Source organism: Homo sapiens, chromosome 2, assembly GCF_000001405.40.
Source record: "Homo sapiens chromosome 2, GRCh38.p14 Primary Assembly".
Taxonomy (NCBI): Eukaryota; Metazoa; Chordata; class Mammalia; order Primates; family Hominidae; genus Homo; species Homo sapiens.
Window position 1 is genome coordinate 217,737,492 of NC_000002.12, and position 18,794 is coordinate 217,756,285.

Sequence of the window (18,794 nt, forward strand, 5' to 3'; positions counted from 1 at the left end):
TTCCTTCTGAACCACACACTCTGGGTTCCTGTCTGGGCCTCTGCCCAGGGTGTCCCCCTGCAAGATTGGAGCCAACCACCCCTCTAGCGCGCGCACACACACACACACACACACACACACACACACACACACACACCCCTAGACTGAAGGGGCAGCAAGGCTGGGCTGCAAGAGCTGGCACCACCACCACTCCTACCCTTGTGTGCACACAGACACTCTAGATTCAAATTGGGGGCTTGGGTAGGAGGAGCAGAGGGGTGGGCGGGGGCGAGGGACAGTCCTCCCTGCTCCAGTATATTCCAGCTCAGGTATCTGCAGAGTCTGAAGTTCTAAATTTAGAAGCTGATTTTCTAGGTTGTCATAAAAGGTATTATGTCTCCCAAATTACAATTCCTAAGACCCCCCAAATAAATGCCAATATCTTACATCTTACCTGGCTTCATTTCAGTTTGGTTAACAGTATTTTGTCAAGGATGAAAGAAAGAACATACAAGTTTGCAGCTTTGCTTATAATTCTTGAATACTTAGCCATATACTATGGAGGAATGAAGTAAGAAATGGAGCCCTCCATTCCCACTCCCACCCTGGGCCCCTCTGAAGTCAAGGCTGAGCAGAGAAGGCACTTCTCCCTATGGAGGCCCTGGGAGCCCACTGCTGCAGGGTACAAAGCCTTCGGGGAGGGAGCCGGCAGCACTAATCCCAGAGCAGCCTCCAATCTTTCTCTGAGAGAAGGAAAGAGGGACTTTCCTGGGAAGTGGGGTGAGTTGCCCTGGTCACTGCAGTTCCTAAAAGTCAGCTGTTTCCAAACAGGGAAGAGAAGGAGATGAAATCAAAGAGCTTGTGCTGGGGAGGCAGAGGGGGCCTAAATGGTCTTTAAAAGGGCCTAGAGGGGTGACTTTCTTTTGCTGATTGTCTACGAGGCTTGGAAGGACTTTGAGAGAAGGTGGAAGGGGTGGAGTAAGAGGGCAGAGGCAATCCTGGTTTTCCCTTACCTTAGGGCTGCTCGGCTGAAGGAGTGGGGTTGGGCTCTAGGTCAGGTGGCAGCAGAGGTTGCTGGGTCCAGAGGAGTTCCCAGGACAAGACTCTTAGGACTGCCCATCACTTCCAGCACGCAGGGCGTACTTCTCCATGAGGCACAGTGCAGTGCCTAGAAGCCACAATATTTCTAGGGGCCCTCAAAAATGTTTTTATTTTAGTTGTCTTTCAAAAATCAGAAGAAAAAATGAATAGAATACAAATGAGTATACAATCATGAATCCAGCCGGAATTACATTTGTTTTTATGCCAATGTAGTCATAAAGTATAAATTTTAATATTTTTCTCCAGGGGTAGGACTCATGAGGGCGAAGTGCCCACAGAAGTCACGCTGTGGCCCTGGGCAGCAAGAGGCCTTCTGAGGGCTGCAGCCCCATGGGGAAGACGCAGCTCAGATCTGAGGACTAACTCCACCAAAGCTGTGAGTGTAACAGCGGCCAATTGAATGTAGGAATCCAGTTAAAGCACTTAGCACCAGTCCAGGAACACAGCAATAAGTACAGGGTATCCTGGTAACTGCTCATGACCATTGGCCACCAATAAATGGTTGAGTATGCTGGGTAAGAGCACAGGCTTTGAAGCCAGACAAATCTAGGTTTCCATCCCTGTTTTGCATCTCACCAAAGCTGTGACTTTAGGCAAGAATCTCAGTTTCTCCAGCTGGAAAATGTGGATAATACCCTCAGAGGACAGTACAGAGCCCCACACATAATAGCTGCTCAATGAATGGTAACGATGAATACTGACAGTTTCAGGACCAGCCAAAAGGCAGGTACCCACAGGGTAAATGAGAAGCATCTCCCATCCCAGAACATCTCCCCTCCCCAGCCTGTCCCTCATTGCTTCAAATCTGCTATGTGAACTGATGTTTGTTAAAATGTAGACAAGATTCCCAAGAGCAAAGTAAGACAGTGAGCTTGGGGGAATGGGTGTGAAGGCAGAAGCTTGCCAGAGCCTCACCACGCCTGTCAGCTCAGCATCCAGGAGGCATAAGTAGAACTGGGGCAGGGGCTCTGGAATAATCTGAATGACAGATTCTTGATCCAGGACTAGAAAAAAAAAAAGAGAGAGATTGAAGGAAAGAGATGGGCTACCAGCCAGGGAGAGGCAACTTGCAAACGTTTCCACTCTCACAGGTGATCTTACTACTCAGCCAGATGGGTTGGTTCATCTTCCCATTTGCATTAATATGCCCTCCAGAGGTCATTTCATCCTTCCCTCTGCCTCCAGACAGGATGACTAAGAAACCCAAGGGATACCGGTGGACCTACTTGCTTTTAGGGTCTCTAGGGAAGGGGAGCTTCACAGCCCCTTCCTCCTCTTTCCCTGCACATTTTAGGCAGTTTCCAATTATGTCCCAGAAATGGCATGGAAGCCACAAAACTTTCTAGTGATATAAAAATCCTACATCAGCCTCTGTCTCCCCTTCTTCTCCTGCCCTTTCTGCTCATCTTAGTTGCACCTCAGAGCTCCCACCTACAGAAGACCCACTTAGGAGGAACCAATTCACAGAGGGCATTTTGCAAATTTTTTTTGTAATTGCTGGATTTTTAAAAATCTTTTTATGCTAGGATAGAAAAAAAAATCAGCTGAATCCAGACCAATAACCTGTCTTTCTAAAAACATTACATTATTGGACTAAAATCAACCAAATATTTTAATTTCCCAAACCAAACAACATGTGCAGATCTAGGCTCTAAGTTTTGTACCCTTCTCCCAACCAACTCATCCCTGACGCAGAACAAGAGTAAAACCAAACAAACAGGAGAGGAAGAGCGGGCAGAGCAAAGCTCATTCCTTCCAGGACAGCTGCCTGATTTCCATCAGGCCAAGTCTGAGACTTTTGTGGCCCAGCCACATGGTTGATTATGATTTGGAGGCTGACAGCACCGCACAGGCATCTACAGAAGCTAGAACCTTCTGATGGCTGCCCACACACAGAGAAAAGCAGGGTTTGTTTCAAACAAAAATCATATCATGAGATTAAGGCATCAATCAGCAAACATCAGGGCTATGCGCAAAGAACCTTAGAGATAATTTCTTCAAAAGATTTGGCTTTGAAAATTAGCAAATAGGTCCTGGAGAGATAAAGCAACTTGACCAGCAGGGCTTTGAGGCAGGACCTACCTTGTCAGGACTAGGACCCAAGGGGTCCCAATCCCAGCCCAAAGCTGTCTTCATGACCCCATTTGCCTCCCTGACCCCAACTGAAACCCCAGCAGCCAAGGGGAAAGTTCTAGGTCTCGCCGCACTTGCATTTGCAGTATCAAAACTAAGCTGAACCCAAATCGTCTCCTCCCCCACCTACCTTTCACTCAACAATAGCTAAGTGAACTCAGCTGAAAGTTTCCAGAGAATTTCACTTTGGGGCCAAGCCCAGAGATGGAAACTTTTAGCCTGAGAAGGGAATTTAGCAGGACGCACAGCAAGTGAAAACAGAAGGGTGGAATTAGGCAAGAGAAGGGCATCACAGCTTCCGCACAGCTGTCTCGTGGAGGCCCAGCACCATGCCTGGTCTAATCTGCAATTTCCCCCCAAAGGCTGCTGCAGCTCTGGGCATATGCACAGCCCTGGCAGGAGGGCACTGGTCTTCTATACCTAGGGCCTTGGTAATGTAGTCTCTGCCCTTTTCGCTCTGTGACTAGACACTCATCACTTCTCTCAGAGATATCACTGATGGCTCTGAGCTGGGCTTTCCCAGGGGTTTGACTATGCCTGGCCTGCTATGGGGGCCACTGGGGGCTGCAGGAAGAGGTACCAAGGCACCTACGGGGTCCCTTGCTAGCCCCAGAGGAGGCCCTCGAATGACTCAGTCTTTCAAGCAAGTGGGACAGATAGAGACTGGAGAGAAATCTCTTCTTACTGGGACCACCAAACCTCCCATTCGCGTCTCCAAATGGACCTAGGCATTTCACCACAGAAAGAATGCTGCTCCAAAGAAGGCTGAGAGTCCAACAGCACCTGCTAGGTGGCTGTCAGAGTGAAATGAAATAATGGCTCAGAGCCTGGTGCTCAAAATGGACCATTGACCACTAGAACAAAAGCCCATTGAAGCAGGGCACCAGCTGGCTCTGTATCCCAGAGCCTGGCACTCTACCTGGCACACAGTGGTGCCTAATTAATCCTAGATGAATGCACATGCATGCATTGACAGCAAGTGAAGTGCTGGGGGACCCAGCCACACACCCACGACCAGTAGCCAGTCCCCGGCTCCAGGACAGTATAGGAGATATCTCTGTAACATGGAGGCTGCTCCCTGTCAAGGCTGTGACCCCGTGAACTTGAGGATCCCCCAGGGAGGATGCCCAGGAAAGAGCTTCCCTCAAGGGTTGAAAGCAATAAGGTGGGCCAATTAGGAGTTCACCGGCAAGCCCAATCCCTGGAAGACTGATTCACCCTCATACCCCCCACAGGGCATGAATACTGTACTATGAGTACCCCTCTCAGAGTCTCAAGAGGCAAAATGGATTTTTTTATTATTGATATATTTTTATTTACTTCTGTCCTTTATATTCTGGTAAATATATATAACATTACATTTCCCATGTTAGCCATTTTTAAGTGTACAGTTCAGTGGCATTAAGGACATTTACATTGTTGTACAACCATCACCATCCTCCTTTTCCAGAAATGTTCTAATTATCTCAAAATGAAACTTTCTACCCATTAGATAACAGCCTCCCATCCTCCCCCTCCTCCTAGGCCCAATAGTCACTGTTCTATTTTCTGTCTCTGAATTTGACAACTCTGGATACCTCCTACATGTGGAATCATATAATATTTGTCCTTTTGTGTTCAGCTTACTTCATTTAGCATAATGTCTTCAAGGTCCATCCATGTTGGAGCAGAGATCAGAATTTCCTTCCTTTTTGAGGCTGGATAATATTCTATTTGCATGGAAATGCCACGTTTTGTTGAGTCATTCATCCATTGATGGACAGTTGGGCTGCTTCCACCTTTTGGCTCTGGTGAATTATGCTGCTACGAACACGGGTGAGCAAACAGAAAGGCGATTTTTGGAAGGGAGGGAAAGGAGCTCTGGGTTAGGGGCCAAGCCAAGGAAAAGAGCACTGAGATCCCTCAACTTGGGGGAAGGTGATGAGAAGAAGCCACACTGACCCCATCCTGTCTCCACCTGCCTTTGCACCTTACTGGGAATGGGCTGTAACTAAGGCTAAAACTAAAATGAGTACATATCAGGGAGAAGCACATGCATAGGAACAAAAGAAAACATAAGATGAGACTTATTCCATGCCAGACAATGTCCTAACCACCTTACACCCATTAATTCTCTTAACCCTCCCAATGGCCTTCTGCACAAATACTGTCAATGGCCGTATTTTACAGGAGAGGAAAACAGGGCACAAAGAGATGAAGTCGACTGCTCAAGTCACCAGCCAGCAAGAGGCAGAGCCAGGATTCGAACTTAGAACTTCAAGTCTATGTTTAACTCCAGCCCCGGAGGGTGGAGGAGGGGAAATGTTCTCATGCCATGATCCATCACAGTGTCTTCCACCAGCAGAGAGAAAGAGGAATTGAAAGTAAAGATTCAGGAAGAATTGGTCTTCCTGAGAGATGTCAGGCCCACTCTGGCTGAAGTCTTGTGGGGTTTAAGAAGCTGTGGGCCCCAAAAGGGGCTGGAGGGGGTGACTGGTCCTGAGAGGAGAAAGGGTGTAATTCTGAAGCCAAGAGGGCTCCCGGATGGGAAGCCCTCTTGGCAGCCTAGGTCTCTGCGGGTCCACTTGCTTTGGGAACCACAAAGCCAAAATGTAAAGGAATCTATTTTCTAAGGAAAACACATACTTATACATTCTGAGTAATTTCCCGTGGAACAAGGAAAAAATAAACACAACACCCCAAATGGTTTTTTGCTTACAAATGGGTTCAAGTAAAGAGAAGTGGGAGAATAAAATATAGGGTCAGGGGAAAACTCTCTACTGATTCCAAACCTCAGAAACAGCCTGGAGGCTTGAGAGAGTGGGAGAGACGGGGAGGGCTGGGGAGTGAGGTGCCCAGAGTCAGGGGCTTCCTGTCTCCTCTTCTAAGAGCTGCTTGCTCACCCTCAGAGGACCAGAGGAGGAGAAACTCTGGAAGCACAGCCATAAGACCAGACTGGGTTTGACAGCCAAGGGATTGTATAAGTCAGCCACCAGAGGTGGTGCAGGTAGGTAAAGATGAAAGCAATGGTCCCATTGTCATCAGCTGGGTAGTCAGGGAAGAGTAGGTGGATTAGGGGCCGGGGCCCAAAAACAGGAAAATTAAGTGGAAAGCTGCAGATCACAGGCATCATTCAAAGGAACTCATCAAAGAAAAAATGGTAAAGGACAGTGTAATTGTGAACAAATAACGTCACTTTCCTGGACCCCGCTGAGTCTCCCATATAAACAATGGGGGTACACTATTTGATTTCTACCACTGATAATTCCAAATTAGATGAGGAGATAACTGGGGGGACAGAGTTACAGAATGGGGGATGGGACTAGAGGATGAGTACTGGGGCCTGAGGATGGGTACTCGAGAGCCAAGAGAATTTGGAACAGCTAAGAGTCAATTTGCACTGCAAATCAGACCCAGGGAGAACATCCTGACTGGCAAGGGTCCCAGGTTATTGAAAGTTTGGCAGCACCAACATTCAGAGCAGCTGGCCTGGATTTGCTCTAGCAAAAGATTCACACCATGTGGGGACTGCCAGGTCTCCAGGGCCCCAAGGGCCCCACTCTGCCTGAGGCAGCCTGAAGAGGTTGAGATTCCCTGGCCAGCAGTGACCTACCTGTTCCAACTACACTGCACTTCACTGGTGAAAAGTCCTCTGGCCTACTAGGACCTCATTTGGCCCTCACAGCAGCCTGGTGAAGAAGGATGAATCCTCATTCCCATTTTACAGATAAGGAAACTGAAGTCTAGAGAAGACCGGTCTTGGTAAGCCACATGCCTAGCAGAGCCAGGAATGAGCTCATGTCCTGCCTTGTTCGAGAAGAAGGCACCACGCGGAGCATGGAGGGGTGTCATTGTTCCCCAGTGTGTGCCTGGTTGGGGGGACAGAATGTCAAAGGCAGGAACCCCATCTTGTCCTCTGCACAGTCCCTAATTCTCTTCCCCCAGACCCACTGGAAGGTGCTGGAGGCAAGGAGGCCCAGTGGGAAGAACACTAGACCCAGGAGACCTGTGTCCAAAGCTGCCTGCCCTTGGGCAAGTCGGTTTCCACATTTGTAAAAGTAGTGGTTGCACTAGATTAGTAGTTTCCAATATTTCAGCATCAGATCCTTGCTTTTTCCCGGTGAATCTTACTAGACCCCTTGCTAAAAAGAGAAAAAGGAGGGCCACTCCAGATGAATCAGAGTAGAAACTTGGCAGGGCTAGATTCTCATCAAATTTCCATCCACCCCCTGAGGCCCCTCCACAGGACCAAAGTCAACACGGAGCCCAACTTGCAAACCATCCAATTTCCCAGTCCCCTTCAGGGCCTTCATCCTTCTCTACAGAGCCACTTAAGGACAAAACTTCTCAAATCCCGATGTGGGCCTGCACTCTCTTCTACATGCTCAGCCACCACTGAAATGCTGTCAACTTCCAAATTATAATTCCAAGTCACAACAAATGCCTACCCAACACCTACCCTTGGTTGTCTGTATTAGTTATCTACTGCTGTATAACAACTTATAACCAAATTTAGCAGCAAACACTTCTCATCTCACACAATTTCTTAGGATCGGTAATCTAGGAGCAGCTTAGCCAGCGGTTCTGGCCCAAGTTCTCTCACAGGGCGCAGTCAAGATGTTAGCTAGGGCTGTATCATCTGAAGGCTTGACTGGGGCTTGAGGATCTGCTTCCAAGAGGGCTCACCCCACTCTCATACTGGCAAGTTGGTGCTGGCTGGTGGCAGGAGGCCTCAGGTCCTTGCCACATGGCCCTCTCACAATGTGGCAACTGATTTCCCCTATAGTGAGTGTTCCAAGGGAGAGTAACCAACATGGAAGCCACAGTGCTTTTTATGACCTGCCTTGAAAACCAGACGTGATCACTATTACCATAATTCATTTATTAGAAGCAAGTTACTGAATCCAGCCCACAATGAAGGGGAGAGGAATCAAGCTCCACCTCTTAAATGGAGGAGTATCAAAGAATTTGTGGACTATTTTAAAACCACTACACTGTCCAAGGGCAGACTTATGAACTCCTCCCCCAAACCCAGTCTCATTCAGCTGGTGCCTATTACAGTAAACAATACCCACTTAAGGTAGCCAGGAGCCTAGGCCATCTCTTTTCTCATGCTTACACCCCTCAAGTCTAATCAACCACCAAGTCCTCTCATTCTCATCTCCTAACATCCTAGCCACTAGGTAGCAAAGATGATGGTTAAGAGTATGGGCTTCCTGGCCGGGTGCAGTGACTCACACCTGTAATCTCAGCACTTTGAGAGGTCAAGGCAGGAGGACTGCTTGAGACCAGGAGTTCAAGACCAGCCTGGGCAACATAGTGAGACCCTGTCTCTACTAAAAGAAATTTATAAATAAATTTTAAAAAGAATATGGGCTCCCAGACTGAACCCTGGCTCAACCAATTACTAAACCTCCACATGCCTGTTTCCTCATCTTTAAATGAGGAGAATAGTATCTACCATATTGTGAGGATTAAATACACCATGTAAAACCCACAGGACAGTGCCTGGCACATAGTAAATACTAAATAAATACTTGCTATCGTATTTCTCAAATTTGCACCTCTGTCCATCTGCACAGGTCTCAGCAATTGTCATCCTTCACCTAGATGACTTACACAGCCTCCTATTTGGTCTCCTTAAATCCACTCTGTTCTCAAATATGTTGTCCATAGAGCAGCCAAAGGGAGCTTTGCAAAGTGCATATTTAATTATGTTAAACATCCACCCTCCACTACCATCGTTTAAAAGCCCTCAAAGGTTTCCCATTGCTCCTTAGGATGAAGATAAAGCCTTCCTCTCACTCCGCACAACCTGGGCCCTTGGCCCAAGTATCCAGCCACCTCCTGATAAGTCTCCCTGCTCTTCAGATTTTTGTCAAACACACCATGCTTCTATCTGCCACAGGGCCTTAGCCCATGCTGCTCCCCTAGAGGAAAACTCATGTCTTCCCTCACACCACCTTACCTCACCTAGAAAGAGTCTAATCGCCTTTCCTATCTCAACACAGGTGTTATTGTGCAAAGAAATCCTCCCTGACTTCAAAATCTCCTTAGAACGCACATCCCAGTCTGTGATTATTTGAGTAACCCTCTCTCTCCCACTGGACACAAAGCTCCACATGAGCAGAGACCACACCTGCCATTGCTCACCATTCTTTGCTCAGCTCCTAGCCCATGCGTGGCACAAGGTCAGTTTCCAGGAAGTGTTTGTGGAATGAATAATTAAGTGCTCCTGCTCTCTCAGATATTGCAGGGAGAGTTCCAAGAGTCAGGGACTGGCCAACAGAAAAGGACCCACCCTCCAGGCTGGCCTCCTCCCACCTCACCCACCCTGGAGATGCTGAATCATCAAGTCACTCTTAGCTGGACCATGTCTCGCATAAACAAATATCAGACCCCTCTGGAAGTGCCATGAAGTGGGGCTTCCTGCCTCACTCTGGGACTGCCAGAGCTCTCCACACCACTGAGAAAATGATGGATGACTTTATCCATGGCTTCCTCAGATGCCGGGGAAAGGCTCAGATTTGCCCGGCTTCTGGAGGCTGCATTTCCTGAGTACAAACCCCTGGCCTTCTCCCCAGCTGCCCTCCCTGAAATCGGGGTCAGAAAACACATTCCCTTTCCATTAATTTATTTATTCACTGACTTCAGCCACCTTTCAGGGACTCTTTTTCTCCAAACTTCTGCGTGGGCCCCTGGGAGGCAGTGGGGGGTGGCAGAGAGCACATCCCACCTAAGTCTTGACCAGCTGTGCCACCAACATGCTTGTGGCCTTAGGAAATTTACTTTCTTTTCCTAGTATAACACGACATCTGCCTGCTTCCTCCTGCAAGTGTTCAATACTCCATGTCTGCAATTATCTCCAAGTCACCTCTTTCTTTCATCTCTTTCCCCAGCCACTCTCTGATGCAGGTGGCACTCTCTGTCACACAGAAAGGACTATTCATCCCTGGAAAGATTGTGCACTGGTTCTGCGCTGAGCACAGAAATCCAAGTCTGTCCCACAGAGAAAAGAGAGCCTGCTTCTCACATCACACAAAGGCCTCCGTTTTGCCTGTGACCTCCACGGTCACCCTCCTTGGCCTTTCTTGTCCACTCAGCTAACTTCTTTATTTTGTGTCTGTTCACGCCATGCCTGCTGCTGATGTGCCCAATGTGAGGACCCTGTCTGCTTCCCAATGTCTGAGGCTCTCCTGTTCCTACCATAGAGTCACAGGTCCCCCAGACCTCCACCTGCAGCTCACCAGGTCACAAATCCCAGTGTGAATCCTTACAGGAAGCCAAAGAAAGGAGTTTCATCCCCCACCTTGGGACACAGCTCCCTTTGGCCTTGCAGCCCTGAGGCCCCGAGGCCTACGTGCATGGTCACTGGCCTCCTCCTGCCTTGGGCCCATCCTGAGGCCCTGTCTTGGTAATCTGCTTTGAGACCCAACTCCAAATGCCCAGCCCCCTTGTCTTGCTCTTGTTCCTGATTTGCTCTGAGGCCCTGCTGCTGGGGTACAGACATCCCCGGGCCACCTAAACTCCTGAAGATCACCTTCTCCAGAGCCTCAGAAGGCAGGCTAAGCCCACCCGGTGTGACACCTGACTCCATACCCTGTTCCTCTATCCACTCACCTTGGCCAAGACCTCCTATCCCTTGTCTTCTGGCCTGGATCACCCCCAGCACAGTCTACCTTGCCTGCCTCTCCCCTAGTTAAAAGTCTCCCTCAGTTTGCTCCCTGCAGTGGGATGATCCTAAATATTCCCCAAACTACTCCTTGTCAAGCATTTCTAGGGCCCCAGAGTAGATCTGAAAGAGACTTTTAGCTCTTGCCCTAAGATATAATGTTCCTTTTCTTATATCCCTGTGTTCAAACTATTTATCATTCAACAAACTTTTTTTTAAGAATCTAATCTGTGCTGGCTTCTATTTTATGCACTGGGGTTGAAGCAATGAACAAAACAGAGAGGAATCTCTGCCCTCATGGGTTTGCACTTCAGTGAAAGCCCACAAGACATGGAGTCAAACTCCAAAAAGAGAATTTCCTCTGCCTGTCCTGAGGCCTCTCCACTTACCAAGTGGAGTCAACCTTTCTGGTACTGCCATCTTGAATCTCAAAGCATCGAGCTCCATTATTGTCTCCCTCCAAGCTCCACTCCTGTTCCAGCTGTTGCTCCCCATGGTTTCCCCTTCGGGGGAGGAACAATTGTGCCCCCTTTGGCTCCTCCAATATCTCCACTGCTTTTCCTTCCCCCTTCCTGCTGCCTCCTCCTCTTCCTGGGTCAGATTCACTAGTCAGCACTTTTACCCCTGAGGAACATCCTCTGTCCCCTCTCCAGTAACCCACCCCCCTCCCTTTTGTTCTGTCTCATCAGCAAGGCGAGCCTGCACTGCCCTCCATGCAGATTTTCTCCTCCCCAGAGGCTGCCACTGGAGTCCACAATGACAGGGGAGCTGAACATTTCCCAGTCAGTCGCCAGCCCTCAGCAGAGCTTGGCCTGAGGCCCATGCAGGCATCTCAGGAGAGGAAAATCAACTTTCCTGGACCCAGCCCTGGCTTTCCAGTGAGATCCCACAGCCTCCGCAGGCTGCTGGCATCCACTCCGGAAAGGACATATGGGTGGTAAACAGGACTGTGTGTGCCCTGCAGCCTCCACAGGGCAAAGGCCTGGCCCTTGCCATAGGAGCAGATCTGACATATGTGCGGTGGTTCTGGTGCATAACCACCCAGAACATGGGGCAGAGCCAGCCTGGGCCTTCAGGACCCCTGAGTCACAGAGCAGCCAAAGAACTCCCAAGGGCTCTGAAGGTGGGACAGGGACAGGGACCTGCAATGCCATGGTACCATTGCCTCTTACCTCCCATACAAGGAACTATTCTGTATGGCCTGGCCCCTCAGGTTCCTATGGCCCTGGCATAGACAATAAGAAATAGCCTACCTCCCTTCTTTTGCCCCCAAAAAGCACTCAAAATGAGAGTCATCCATTCTCCTAGACCAAGCAACTAGGCAGATACCAGCTCACAGGTGAGTGGAGGCTCGTACCAGCCTGCCCTACCTGCCAGCTTCACCAGAGTCTGGGCATTCTTAGGCCCCTTCATTATGCTGGGGGCCCTCCAGACCTAATTTTGGGCTATCACTAGCACCCAGCCACCCTCTCCATTGGGCTGAGACCCCACGTGAGTGAAGAGGACAGGCTGCGATGAGAAGGGAGTCGCTCTCCCAGTCAGGCACAGAGAGCACCCTGCAAGTCAGCACATTTGGTCAAGACAAAGAAGGGCTGCTACAGAAATCTAAGTGGATATCTGACACTGGGGCAGTGGAACTCCACCCCTTTGGAAGATGGACTATAGGAGAATTATATCCTCCCTCACCAGGTTTCTTTTTCCCTGGTTAGAAGAGTTTTGAAGTCAACAACAGGGGCTAGTTCTGAAGCAAACCAGCTCTAAGCTATAGTGACCCAGAAACAGAAGCTAAGAAGGCAGTAGCTCACACCTGTAATCCCAGCAATTTGGGAGGTCAAGGCAGGAGGATCATTAGAGGTCAGGAGTTTGAGGCTGCAGTGAGCTATGATCATGCCATTGTACTCCAGCCTAAGCGACAGAACAAGACTCTGTCAAGAAGAGAGAAGAAAGAAGAAGAGAAGGAGGAGAAGGAGGAGGAGGAGGAAGAAGAGGGGGGGAGGAGGAGAAAGAAAAAGAAGAGGAAGAGGAGAAGGAGGAAGAGGAGGAGGAGGAAGAAGAAGAAGGAGGAGAAGAAGAAGAAGAAGAAGAAGAAGAAGAAGAAGAAGAAGAAGAAGAAGAAGAAGAAGAAGAAAAGTAGTAGTAGTAGTAGTAGAAGAAAAAGCAGCAGCAGCAAAGAAGAGAACAGCAACTTTTTTTTTTTTTTTTTTTTTTCTGAGACGGAGTCTCGCTCTGTCCCAGGCTGGAGTGCAGTGGTGCGATCTCGGCTCACTGCAAGCTCCGCCTCCCAGGTTCACACCATGCTCCTGCCTCAGCCTCCCGAGTAGCTGGGACTACAGGCGCCCACCACCACGCCCGGCCAATTTTTTGTATTTTTAGTAGAGACGGGGTTTCACTGTGTTAGCCAGGATGGTCTCGATCTCCTAACCTCATGATCCGCCCATCTCGGCCTCCCAAAGTGCTGGGATTACAGGCGTGAGCCACCGCGCCCAGCCGAGAACAGCATCTTTAGAAGACCCGCTATTCTGGGAGAAGAAAAGGGGCAAAAAAATGGTGATAACCTCATTACCCTTGGGAACCTAATAAGACTCTAACCAGGTCATAGCTGCCAGGAGAGGGGGTTAATGGTATTCAGAAGTTACAACTGAGGTGATGGCAGCTAGAGTATTACCAGGACCTTCCAAAGAAGGCTGAAGAGGAATTTAAGAGGGGGTGGGGAGCAGGCATCATCTTTCCTACAGATCAACACCAAAAAGATTACGATACAGACCTAGGAGGGAGAGAGTCCAGCTTCCAGATTCCAGACTGGGGGCCAGGAGGGTACATAATTCTGAGAGCCCTATCAGTCCTTCCCTGAAGCCGAGAGGATTCACCTACAGAAACACAAGGAAGGGAGGGTCTAGCCACCCCTTCCCCCAACATCCACTCTCACGGGCTTCTGGCAACCCATCTTTGTGGGCGCAAGCCCCGGCATCCACAGCAGGGTCATTTTTACAAGGTGCGCACACCCCATGCCTCCCAGGGCTTTTGACACTCCCTAGAGGGACACTGCCAAGGCTCCTGGGAGCACCACAGGAGGCCCGTGGGTGCTATCCTGGAGCCAAGTTCAGCTGCTCCCCCAGCAGGAGCCCAGCCTCCTGACCGTGTGCCCCAGTTGGCTCTAGGGACTTGGGGAGGGAGGCTTCCACTTCCCTTTGTAATAAGGGGCTTGGATTAGCAATATTTCCCAACTATGATTTGAGGAACTCTGACCCCACTAGATGCTCCATGGCAAGAGGTTTCACTGGACAAATAATCCTGGGAAATGCTGCAACTCTACCAACCCTCTTGGAGCTCTCTGTTCTCCTTAGCATAGTAGAGGCTTTGAGCACCCTACAGTGAAGAGGAGAGGGAAAGCAGCTTAACTTTGGTGATGTTTTGTATTGGCCTCCACACATGAATTCTGTTCTAAGTGGTTTATCTCAAATCCTCTGGGTAAGGCACTATTGTAACCCCATTTTATAGAGCCATCCTCTGGGTGGCTCTGTGCTGCTCCTCTTGGCCCAGAGTTTCTCAAATGTCCCGTTCAAGCCTGGGACATTTGTCATGAGCACGGCTTTAGAAATTCTGGACAGGAGGACCTCTAAGACTAATTAGATGCTTTCCTCACACTGAGACAAGTCCCATGAAATTAGAGAGGGAGGGGAGGGGAAGAGAGAGAGAGAGACCGAGAGAGAAACAGAGCAAGAGAGACACACATCAAGAGAGACACACAGACATAGAGAGAGAGACACAGAGAGTGATGCAGAGAGACACTGAGAGACACATACAGAGACATGCTGAGAGGGAGACTGAGAGGAACAGAGACTGAGACAGAGAGAGACACTGAGAGACAGAGACATGAGAGAGACACTGAGAGACAGAAACACTGAGAGACAGAAACACTGAGACACAGAAACACTGAGAGACAGAGACAACATGAGAGAGACACTGAGACCCAGGGACACTGAGACACAGAGACACGGAGAGACAGAGACACTGAGAGCCAGGGACACTGAGATACAGAGACACTGAGAGACAGAGACTCTGAGACACAGAGACACTGAGACATACACACAGAGAGAAGGCAGCAGGGAGAGGAGTGTAGCCATGGTTGTGAGGAGAACCTGCTGAGATGAGCTTTGTGAGTGAGCCTGTGCTTTTGGAGGGGAGATGAAGGCGGCTTGGGTTAGGGGATCTCAAACCCACCTGGGCAAAGCCAGACCCCCCTTGGAATGGGTTTCCATTCACAAGTTGAGGAGGGCAATGCCTGCGCCAGTGAAAGAGGAACTCTCACGGAGGAAACAGGCAGATCCTCATCACCCTTCAGCTCCTCATGGGCAGCTCCTCATGGGCAGCTCCTCATGGGCAGCTCCTCATGGGCAGCTCCTCATGGGCAGCTCCTCATGGGCAGCTTGGCCTGAGTGAGGAGGACCCCCGAGTCCACCTGGGAAATCTCGGCCACCTGCTGGAGGGGGCAGCTTTAGGGCTTCAGGGCTAAAGAAGTAGGATAACTAGGGCCAGGATTGTAGGGAGAAGGGAGCGCATGCTCAGTGACAGACCCAGGCTGAGTGTGAACGACCCAATCCCCTCCACACAGCCCTTTTCCCCAAATCACTCACATGCCTGCCCCCATCAGCCCTGAACACCCAACCCCAGCCTGCACAGAAGACCTGCAGCCTGGAAGCAGGCAGGCTCGGAGCCCTGCAAGGGTTGGGGGTTGGCTCTGTCCATCTTTGGATCCCCACCCCCAGCCCTGTCCAAGACATTTGTCCTCAAAGGAGCTTTATTTGGTCTTCTCTCCATTTTTGTGCAAGCCTAGTGAGAAGCCATGGCCAGCAAGAGGAAGCAACAGCCACCTGCTTGGAACTCATTTGAGAGGGGCTGAAATAGGCCACCTGTTCCCAGGCTTCCCTCCCACGCAGTAGGTCACAGAGTCTGGCCACTAGGAGAAGGTCCGAGAATGTTAAGGTTTGAAGAGACCTAAGAGCCTAACCTTCCAGCGGAAGCCTCTGTCCCTCCAGGCTGGGGCAAAGAGGGCTGACCCCAGGTGGCAGCACGCGGGTCACATTTGATTCACATGATTTGGCCTCTGGTGAGCCTAAGCGCTGTGGAGCAAGGGGTGGGAGTTCCCACTCAGGAGTAAGACTGCCGGGATCTAAATCCCGGTTCTGCCACTTCCTATCTGAAAAACACATGCCTCAGTTTCCTTCTCTATGAAACACAGCCCCATCGCCAGGCTGAGTGCAGACTCTTTGGGGCAGATCCTTCACCAGCCCATTTTGCAGATGAGGAAACTGAGGTGAATGAGCCGGCACTGTGACCCCACGTGCTTCATTCTAAGCATAGAGATCTTGCCGCTTCAGCAAGCCAACTTCCTTCCCCAGGGAAGGCTGGGAAACAGTAACTGGAGAAGGGGGCAGGAGGGTCTCTGCCTGGGTGCAAGGCTCAAGGCTGGCCAGTCCTGCCATTCTTCTTGCCTCTGGTTTTTCCGAATTCTGCCTCTCCCTCTGGAAAGCCATTGCAGGCAGGGCACTCCCAAGCCTCGTTTACAAAATTATAAGCTTCCTTTGTCCCCAGTCTCCTCTGGTTACAATAACACTCATCAGCTCTCCAGAGCTTTCAGGGGCATGGAAAATGTGACTTCACTCCTCAAGGATTTCTGATTTAACAAAATGGCATTGGGGAAAGAAAATGAAAAAGAATGTCTCTGTCCATCCCTGATAGAAAAGGCAATAGGGCTCCAGCCTCCCAGCCCAGAGTCAAGAGCCAAGAGCTCCCAGAGGGTCCAGAAGGCACAGACAGGGGACCCTCAATCCCCCTTGGACCCCACAGACTGGAAATCAGCCTCTCTGGGTGGGGCCTAAGGGGAAAAGGGAGGGAAAGGGTCACTGAAGACAGGTGCCAAAGGCAGGAAATAAATACATCCTGTCTTGCCATTCCCCAATTTGACAACTTTATTATTCCTGTCCTTCTTTATTCAGTCAGTCCATCAGTCACTTGTCCTAAGTGCTTAAAATGAGTGACTCTGGTGTCCAACCACCTGGGATAGTATTCTGGCTCTGCCATCTTTCCAAGCCTCAGTTTTCTCATCTGCAAAATAGAGACAATGTAGTCTGGACTTTATAGAGCTGCTGTGAAAACTAATGAGATACCATGCTAAGGGCTTCACACCATGCCAGCAGATCAGAAGCTCTCAAGACATGGTAGCTCTTGGTGCTGTCACTCATGGGAATTGCAAAGCTTTGTCAAGCAGAGCAATGTGTCTGAGGCTGGACTGTTGGGAGTACCCATCTCATGGCACCTGCAGTCTAGAGACCCAGCCCTGGAGGCTCCTAGCTGGCCCATTACTTTAAGTCCTGAACACCAGGGCTAGTCTAATAGGTAGACTGGCAGGGTAAGGAGAAGGGCTTAGTGAGTGCTTGCTGCATACAAGACGCTGTGCAGGTGCTAAGGAAAATTCAGAAATAGCAACTATAAATCAAACTCCACGATTTCAGGTATATGAGAAATATAATTTTCAAAAAAATTATTTAAGTCAAGTTAAATCCATCTCTGAGCCCCCATCCCACCTGAGACAGCAAATTTTGTCCTGGTCATTAATGGAACCCGCCCATCCTCTCTCTCACCAGCATCACTGGAAGGGGTGCATGCGTGGTCACTGGCCATTTGTCCCCACTGGTTACACTGAGATAACTGATGCAAGGCCACACAGTACCCAGGAGCCCAGGGGCTCTGCTGCTTCTGTGCCAAACAGTGCCAGAGAAAGCTAGTCACAGACACATCACACTGTCAGCCCACTCTGAGGTCCTGCCCACCCTGGGCATTGACAGGGAAAAGGGTGCTCTGCCTCCGGGACTCTTCCCTCAAAGGCACTCACATCTCAAAGAACTCAGGCTCCCAGAAAGGAAGAAAAAAGAAAAGAAAGCAATTCCTACTCCCTGGCCTGCAGCAGCAAGTCTCCCAAAGCAGGGATCTCAAAGGAGCAGGCTGTTTACATGGGGGGAGTTGGGGGCAGTAGAGACAAAAATATAAGGATAACAGAAAATGAATCGTCGTATCTCAGAGACGGCCCCTCTAAAGAGGTGACTTCCAGGGGCTCCCAACAAGACACCTGCACCCCCTCCACCTTCTACCCCTACCCCATCACCCGCAGGCAGAGGAAGCAGCAAACCACATAGTGACATTTCAGGACTAACAAAAAGCCCTCCAGGAAGTAAATCAATCTCCCCCAAGCTTCCTGAACACCTACACTCTCCTTCATCTAAGGCAGATGTCCTGAAGAGGTCTCTGCTGAAAGGGATCAGTTGACTTATCACTGTCACCTTGCTGAGGCCAGGGCAACAGGGAAGATAAGTGTTGACTGGGAAGCAATACTTATCCAAGAAAGAAATGGGTATTTAATACCTACTAGGTACCACCAGGTGATTTCACAAACAACCTACCTGTTCATCACAACCACGCAAAATGAGTGCTTCATTCCCCGTTATTGATGAGGAAACAAAGGTCCTGAGAGAGGGGCCAAGGTCACAGAGCTGTATTATGACAAAGCTGGGAACACTCAGCCAATATTTAATAATAATACTATCACTTAGGGTACTATTATCATTCCCATTTTACAGAAGAGACTCTGAGGCACAGCAATTAAATTACCTGTAAGGGCCAAGAAGGGTGCCCCTGAGGCCTGGGCTGTTGATCCCCTCATTTTTCTGCCTCTGCATGAGAAGCAACTGGTTGGAAAGTCCCACCAGTTCTGAGAATTCATGTTCTGCCCGGATTCCTGCAAATGAGTAGGGAAGCACGACCAAGGATTCTGGTAGCTTTGCATAGGACTTAAAGACTCACATTATTTTGAAATACAGTTTTGTAAAAAATAAAAATACAAATATTTAGAAACCAATTAAAGAGTATTGCTTTG

The 18,794-nt window shown here is 49.5% G+C and overlaps 1 long non-coding RNA gene across 12 annotated transcripts in view; it reads right to left on the reverse strand.

The window, feature by feature from the left end:
• DIRC3 (disrupted in renal carcinoma 3) overlaps window positions 1–18,794 on the reverse strand; it is a 506,425-nt gene that overhangs the window by 453,473 nt on the left and 34,158 nt on the right. For 2 of the 12 annotated variants that reach the window (NR_186303.1, NR_186302.1), the window contains exon 2: window positions 18,530–18,656. The exons of 6 other annotated variants lie outside the window; for them this stretch is intronic. This is a non-coding gene — a long non-coding RNA (disrupted in renal carcinoma 3). Of the gene's footprint in view, window positions 1–992; window positions 2,085–4,839; window positions 5,017–18,529; window positions 18,657–18,794 lie in introns of all 12 variants that reach the window. 4 more of the 12 variants (NR_186295.1, NR_186300.1, NR_186292.1 and 1 more) reach the window with 4 other exon arrangements.